This window comes from Homo sapiens, chromosome X (genome assembly GCF_000001405.40).
Source record: "Homo sapiens chromosome X, GRCh38.p14 Primary Assembly".
Taxonomy (NCBI): Eukaryota; Metazoa; Chordata; class Mammalia; order Primates; family Hominidae; genus Homo; species Homo sapiens.
In genome coordinates this window covers 121900935-121909734 of record NC_000023.11, presented here as the reverse complement: position 1 = coordinate 121909734, position 8800 = coordinate 121900935, and the positions used below count along the sequence as shown (strand labels likewise).

The window sequence follows — 8800 nt, the reverse complement described above, 5'->3', positions numbered from 1 at the left end:
GTGATAAGCATATGGAAAGATTCTAAACATCATTAGTTCCATTTATTATTGCACTAGAGCAATGCAAAACAAAAGCACAAGGAGACATCACTTAGCACATTAAGATGAATATGATAAAACAGGAAATAACAAGTATTCATGAGGATGCATAGAAATTGGAATCCTCTTGTGTTGCTGGTTGGAATACAAAATGGTTCAACAACTGTGGAAACAATTTGGCAGTTTTTCCAAAATGTAAACATATACTTACCATATAGCCTATCAATTCTACTCCTAGTTATATACCCCAAATAATAAAATACAGAGACCCAGATACAGCAATGTTCATTGCAGCACAGTTTACAATGGCTAAAAGGTGGAAATCAGCCGTATCCATCAATGGAAGAATAAACAATTATATATACATACAATGGAATATTATTCAGTCATATAAAGGAATGAACTTCTGGTATTGTAGAAAAAAATGGGTTCTTGTCATACGACCAGGAAAAGTTAGGCATGCAGAAACTTTGAAGGGTGAGGGAGAATGGAATTTACTGAGCTACTAGGAAAAAAAAAAAAAACACCTCTCAGCAAAGCAAGAGGGGTTCCTATTCACAGGCCCCCATCTCACTGACTGAATCTCAAGTTACCATACAGTAACAGGAGAGGCCAGGCTCCTTCTCGCTGCAAATGATGCGAACTTCCCAAGGCTCCACCCCGTCCTCCCAGTGTGTAGGTGGGCATTATTGAGAAAAAAATCAGTTGGCAAAGGGCAGGCTTAATCCGGAACCTGCAGTCCAATTTTTCAGCCTTCATGCTGTTTTAGGCTTGAAGGCAGGGTTTCACCTGGGTCCCTTGGCTGCCTCCTGTGTCTATCATTTTCCCCTCTAAAGAAGTACATCTAACTGCCATTAGAATAAGGATAAGGATAAGGATGAACACTGATTTTAACTGCTTCCTGTTGACAAGGGGTGCTGTTTTGGGAAAATGGCAGTCCAATCTCCCTCAGAGGCCAAACTAAGGGTTCCCAGCAAAAGGGGCCATTGTCTGAGACCCCAGTTGCATGACCATTTGGAGTTTGATGGCCTGAAGGTGAGAAGAGACAACTCAGATTATTAGAAAACATACATCAAAATGAAAAAAAGGCAGGAGAGAGAACAGCTCAAAAATTGTGAGGCCTTTTACCAGTTTGTACAGGGAGAGGGGGGCCAAAGGCCCAACTGGTAAAAAACCTTTTACCCTTTTGCCAGCATGTCAGGCTTCTGGATTCCCTTCCCCTGAGCCCAATCCTAAGCCAACCAGTTTAAGGTTGGGAAAATTAACTTTTCCTGGTTTGGAGGATGCATCCGAAGGGAGTATCTGATAGTACGGAGACACAATTACCTATCAGTGAAGAGAGGACAGATGAGAAGAAAGAAGAAAAAAGGATTTTTTTTCAAAGGAGTCCAAGAGGTTCAGGATGTATTTGAAAAAGGTACAGACTGAAAATAAGTGGCTACACATTGAGAAAGAGGGGAGCGAGGCATCCCCAGTTCTCTTCTCTTTCTAGCAAATACCAAGGGTACGTGAGGGAGAGAAAGCAAGGTGTTGCCCTTTCTTTCCTTGTCCTTGTATCCCCGAGTCCTGGTTACTGTGAAAAGGTGCCACCCAAGGGTGTCACAGTGCCTTTACCCATATTAATAGAGGGGCATAGGGGATGGGAGTATCCATGCTTAGTCTCATATGCCCTATCTCCCCTGTCCATAGTAGCCCTAGACCTCATTTATGCTATAGATGCTAGTATGGTCTTTATCCATGAAACAGGAATCTTGGCTTAATTGGCAGGAATCAGTCATGCTCACCTGCAGTGTGCCTTTTAACTTCAGTTATCATCTGCCTCTGAATCTTCCAGATCCAGTTTTCTTTCCTATGGCTTTGACCTGAAGCTTGGAATTGAGTTTGGAACAAATATGTGTCTCAAGGGGGTTGCATGGGCTCCTCATCATAAGCCAAATGCTAAGGTGAAGCTGTGGAATTGAGTCCTCCTTCAACAAGGGAGAGAAAAGGATGGCTTGTGACATGCCAAGATAACTGGTGGCTACAGTTATGCTTGCTCAGATTTGGGTGAATGGGGCTTGGCTTTGGTTAGCTCCCTTGGTCTTACTTCCACAAAAAGGAAACCTCTGGGTTATGGGCATCCTATTTATTCCCATCACCCAGCAGGATTTGCAGGATAATTGCCCAGAACTAGAATATCGATCCAGATTTTTACATCACCCCTCCCTTTTGTTCTTTCTGAGCTTCAGTCAGAGATTGCTGGTTGGTTCACAGGGACAAGCAGTGTTAGTTTAAAATGTAGGCAAAAACTTAAAAACAATGAATTAGTCTAGAATTTAATGACACATGTATGAAATGTTTTGAAACATAATTTGTCTTTCTCCAGTCCTCATTTTTGTTAAAAAAAAAATCATGATATGAATGAGTTGTTTGCAAAATAGATTTCAGGCTTATACTTGGCCTGATTATTTGCATGAAGTACAGCAAGAATAACTATTTCTACATAGGCCTTTTAGATTGGCTTTGATGGAACTCACTTCCACAAGTAATCTCAGATAAGACCATTTAAAGCTGAGCCCAGCCATGGGCTTGTATCCTCAAATACCTGAGAGATGGGTAATCCTCTCTTCTTAAGGTCAGCAGATAAACATGGGGCTCCAGGGCCTGTCAGAAAGTAACATTCTTTACTTACCATAGCTCAGAAACCCTGTACAGTGACTGCATAGACAAGGTTATGAGGCCAGTTTTCCCAAGGGGCTTTTATTGGCCCTGCAAGTCAAGCTTGACCGCTTAAAGGGAAGCATACACCTTCCAGTCAAAGCCTTGATAAACCAGCAGTTTCTCCAATTGCATCCTGTTGCAAAGGAAATTGGATTCATATTGCATTGATGCAAACAACTGTACTGCCATAAGGTAAGAATACTCACAACTAGTTTCAAAATTCTGGAGAAGCCAGGCAGAGAGAGAGACAAATATGCTCCAAATTTTGTTCACAGGCGTATAACATACTCAATTATTAAAGGCTGTAAATAGTTCAAAATAAGTTTCCTTGACCCTGAAAAACAAAACAAGGATCAACAATATTCCAAGCAAAAGTCAAAAAGATTGCTTCAGTTTTCTATGGGTTCAATCCATTTAGATAACTCTTATTTTGCTTGATATTCATGAACATTTTATCACTATGAGCCCTGTACGTTTTTCCTTTATTCCAATGTTACAATCTCAAAAGTTACCAGAAATCTGTATTTGAGAGCACCGGTCAGAGTCCCATAGCTTATTATAAACCATGTGTTGAAAAGGATCAAAACAAGACAATTACCTGTTAATAACAAAATGTCTAGGGTAGTTACAGTTAGAAACACAATTGACAAAGAAGTTCGGTCATCTCTGTTGTTTATCATAACATAGCAACATTAATTATAATTAATAACATATACTTCAGACATTAGAATTTTAGAAATCCCACACAATTTTGAAACATATATTAGTATTATTTGGCAAAATAGAACCTAATGAATATTGAACACCATTTTGGCAATCCCATGTAACTAAGCATGTTAAATAATCCTGTTTACCTCTCTATTAGATACTCCAGGGGCCCTCTGTAGCATCCAAAAGCTGGGCATCATGAAAGACAATTTTGAAACCGAAGTTTGATTTTTGGGAAGCCTGTTACACATGTTAGGCTTAAAACACTTGGTGTTATGAAATAGAATTCCAGATTACTATAACTTATTTATTTTGTCAAAATGATGACTTAGAAATGTAAAAAAGCAAAAATCTATTATAACTTTTATAAATTTTGCTAAAGAGCAGATTAGTGCCTTAAGAGTATCTTGTTGTGCTTTCATTTCAAATGCTCAATTTACAGAAAAACCATATAATAATACCCATTTGAATTTAGTCAATATGCACACCATGGAATTTCTTTTGCAAGATTAATTTTTGCAGGCCTTCCATTATTGTTCAAACCTTCAGCTTTATCTTATCTAATTAAAAAATCATTTAACCCGTAAAGAATAATTTACATTTCCACACCTTCTTATAATCTTTTACTAAAAACACATCTTACTCTTCTCACACACCTTGCATGTAAAAGTATTTCCAATGGTTCAATCACATGTTATAATGGTGACTCCTGGCAATTTTAACTTTAATGTAAGATCTGGGAAGTTGTTTTAATTATATGTTAGTTGTAGCCAAGGTTCGACTCCTTCTAGCATAATTAAGGGCATGGTTAATTCGTGTCCCCAGGCCTTAACAACTGTAAAGCTGCCAAGTCAAATGGTTCTCAAAACCCCAAAATCATTTTATAACCTTAAAACACTTAGCAAACCTAATATCTGACCTGCATAATTTAGTTCACCTATTTACATTTTGATAACATCTGCATTTTACCAATAATCTTTAATATTGTTTTTATTTCTCAATGATTACAGTCATATGAACTAAAAGTACCACAGCGTTTATCTTCTCTTAAAAAAATTTGATCCAATGGCTTGTCTTCCTTTAGGCCAATTAATTAGAGCTCTTTTTATAAACATCACATATACAACACATATATAACTACACAGACAGGCAGAAGAAAACCCAGTCACCATAAGACCTTTCATTTGCCAATCTCCTATTTGGATTATTGGCCTCGCAGGGGAGCCCTTTAAGAGACAAGTCTAGGAAAACATGCAACTTTTAAGGCCTAATAAACAGGCATAACTGGGAGGCAAGAACAAATTTTGAGAGGGATCCATTCATTTTTAATTCCTGGGGTACCATAAGAGGTCTCTCCCCTCTCATATGTGCATTAAAAATAGCAAAGCAAAATGGAAAAAAGTAATTCAGTCAACTGAGAAAAAAAAAAAAAAAAAGGAAAAAGAAACACTTCTTCCAGCAAAACAAGGTCCAAGAAAAGAAAACTATAAAGGCCTTTTAAATATACCTGTAACTTGAATAACCACTTTTAATTAAGCTGATCACTCTTTAAGAAAATCCTTTTAAATCCCCTTATTACCCAACTTTAGCCACAACAAGCAGCTAATATTTCCGGCTTTCAAACTTTACTAAAGGCTCAGAGAAAGAAAAATCCAAGACAGTTTGTGGAGGGGAAGAGAATCAACAAATAGTAAAGGTCACGCAGATATCAAGCCAGACAAAAACTCATTCCCTGAGCCAAGATTGAATCCAGCCACCATTGTAAAATGGCAGAGGCTAAATAAAACATTGCCACATGGTTACAGGTCATGCTCCCAAGGACATAAAACAAGATGGAGACCTGCAACAAAGTTTGCTACTGGCCATACAGAAAGTCATGCAAAGCATACCAGATTGGCTACAGTTTAAGACCAACTTCACAAATCCTTTCTCATAAATAAAGCTTTAGAGGGAATACATACAGTGATAGCTGGGGTCCTGGTAAGAAAACTCACGTAAAGTTAACTCTTGACCCAGTGGAGAAAAGGAAAAGACAGCTTAAATGCAGGGCTGTGTTAACTGCTTACAGGGTGGAGAAAAGAAAAGGATGCCTGGGGAAAAATCTCTTATTCTTATGCAAATGGTTCCTCCACCAGGGAGATAAACTTAATTGCTGTCCAACCAAGTGGGATCCCTTGTCCGGGGAAGAAGAAGTCTCCATAGACGCAGGGCATGAATCACTGGCCATTCTGACATTGGGCACCCTCGGGCCATGCATCCCAGCCCTGGCCGGGAGGGGAGAAGGGAAGTCGCCATTTGCCAGACCATTCTGCATGCTCCTGCCGCCATTGGCATAGGGTGGTACACAGTTTTCTCTACGTCAGAAGAGGCCCCAAAAGAAAAAGGCTTAGAAGTGAACTTAAAAAAAAGGATTTATTGGTTTGTATGGTACTCGCCCTTTCTCAAGTCCCATGTTGGGCACCAAAAATGTTTTAGGGAAAAACGGGTGGATTCTTGTCACATGACCAAGGAAAGTTAGGCATGCAGACACTTTGAAGGATAAGGGGAATGGAATTTATTGGGCAAAAAGGAAAAAAATCTCTCAGCAAAGCAAGAGAAGTTTCTGTTAACAGACCCCCATCTCACCGATTGAATCCCAGGTTACCACACAGGAACAGGAGAGGCCAGACTCCTCCCTGCTGCAAAAGGCATGAACTTCTCAGGCCTCCACCCCATCCTCCTAGTGGGCAGGTGGACATTATTCAGAAAGAGTCAGCTGGGAAAGGGCAGGCTTCATCCGGGACCAGCAATCTGGTTTTTCAGCCTTCAGGCTGTTTTAGGCTTGAAGGCAGAGTTTTGCTGGGGAACCCTTGGCTGCCTCCTGTCTCTATCAGAATGTGCCACACCATAAATGATTCTTGAAAACATTATGCTAAATAAAATATATCATCAGATGCAAAAGGACAAATGTATGATTCTACCTATATGAAATATTTAGAATAGGCAAATTACAGTGATAAGACGTTATAATAAAAGTTATCAGAAGCTGGGAGAAGTGGGAAGGTGGAGTTTTTGCTTAATGAGTAAAAAGGTTTCTCTGTGAGTTGATGCAAACGTTTTGGAAACATTTCCCAAGTGTTTGCACAACACTGTGAATGTAATTAATGTCACCAAATTGCACACATAAAATAGTTAAAAAGGTAAAGATTATGCAACATGTATACATATATATATCCACAATTCAATGAATTAATAAAACTCATAAGCAGTAAAAATAAAAGCCAGAAATTATGTAAAATACAATTTAGTTTATATTAAAAATGAAATGTAAACCCTAGTTTCAACTCAAACATATGCAGGCCTTGGAAGCTGTCTTCCCATTCTTATAATAAATAACAGGCTGAAAATCTTAAAATCAACTGTTCTTGTACCTATCATAAAACTGAAAAGGTATGAGAAACCTCTACCCTGAAATCTGGAGAATCATACAAAACCAGAGAGTCACAACCAAAATACACTTACATGACACAGAAGCTGCTGAAGCCCAAACTGTATTAGTTGGAACACTTATATAGTAATTTTGGCAAAGTGTTTGAGGTTGAATGCCAACCAGTGTGGGAGTGAGAAACTCCTGGTGGCCTCAGTATGAGTTGGTGCCCCAAACTTTCATTAGTTTTACTTTCAGCAATCCCACCACATTCTCACGGGGAAATCCCAGAAAAATACCAGAAAGATACCCTGGTAGTTCTGTCAGGAGGAGGAGAAATGTAATCGTTGTGAAATACTCCCAGAGCTTTGTCCATAACAAATGCCTACAATCAGGGGAAAAGTCTACACCAGAACCTTATCCCAGGTGAGGCATAGAGATATTCTACTACTTCAGCCCTCTCTAGCTTTCCAGGGTAGCTATTAGGAAAAAGACCAGTATCAGTGGAGAAATTACTTGTGAAAGTTACAGCCCAGATACACAGGCCCATAAGAGACAGATTTAATCAGATTACAGAAGACTTCCCTCCCCTCACAACTTACCACCACACCAAAAGGGCTTAAATATAAGAATAATAAATTATAAAGAATTGAAAGACACAAAGTAAGTGAGACAAAAAATGACAGTATTAAAAGCAGAAATACACAAATTCTCAATATTGTTGGAGACTTCAACATCTCTATTTCAGTAATTACTAAAATGCCAATTATCCCTAACTTGATTTATAGGTTCAATGAATTCACATTCAAAATTCCAGAAAACTATTTTGTAAATATTAGCAAATTGACTCTAAAGTTTATATGGAAAGGCAAAATTCCTAGAATAGATGACACTATTAAAGAGAAGCAAAGTTGGAAGACTAAACTTATCTAATTTCAAGACTTACCATAAGTTAAGACAATAATCAAGACAGTGTGTTATTGGCAAAATAATAAACAACTTGATCAGTGGAATAGCATAGAGAGCCTAGAAATCAACGCACACACCTACAGTTACTTGATCTTTGACAATGAAGGGAAGTCAATGAAGAAAAGATACTCCTTTTAATAATGGTGCTAGGAAGACTGGTCATCTATATGCAAAATAATGAATTTAGACACATAAATTATAGTTAATTTTACTAAGATTAACTCACATAAATTATTGACCTAAAATACAATGTAAAATTATAAAATTTGCACAAGAAAATATATAAAAATTCTCAATTACCTTGCATTTATTGATGAATTTTTAGATACAACATGAGCCATGAAAAACAAAAACATTGCAAATTTGGATTTTATTAAAATCTAAAATTTCTGCTCTTCAAAAGACCTATTAAGAAAATGAAAAGATTAGCCACAAACATGGAGAATATATTTATAAAACACACACCTGATTAACTGGCATCCAAATTATACAAAAGACTCTTAAAACTGAACAATTAAAAACAAATAACTCAAAATGTGTGCAAAACATAAAACCAGACCCCTCACAAATGAAGATCTATAGGTAGAAAAAGGACATTAGATACATACTAATAAAACATAAATATAGTATAGATTTTAGTTAATAACATTGCATCAATATTGGTTTATCTATTGTATACTAATGTAAAATAATGATAAGGGAAACTTGGTGTTGGGTATGTAGCAGTTTTCTTTATTATCTTCACAATTTTTTGCTAAATCTAAAATTGTTATAAAATTCTAAGTTTATTTTTAAAAAGGCAACAAACCATATTACAGAAAACTTAAAAAGAAAGAAAAAATGCCACGCTAATATAACTACCATTATTTTGTCAAATTACATTTCATTGTTTTTATATGTATTTTATGTAGTTATAGCAAAATATATGTAATGATGTTTGAAAAGTTAAATACTCAAAACATCGCTTTTTAATTATTG

At 37.1% G+C, this 8800-nt stretch overlaps 1 annotated feature.

Annotated features, from left to right (window-relative positions):
* Positions 5218 to 5800: an enhancer, noted in NCBI's record as "NANOG-H3K27ac hESC enhancer chrX:121037788-121038370 (GRCh37/hg19 assembly coordinates)". NCBI's record gives its function as "activates a minimal SCP1, AML or CMV promoter by ChIP-STARR-seq in primed H9 embryonic stem cells {active_cell/tissue: H9 hESC(primed)}" and the evidence as "EXISTENCE:reporter gene assay evidence [ECO:0000049][PMID:30033119]".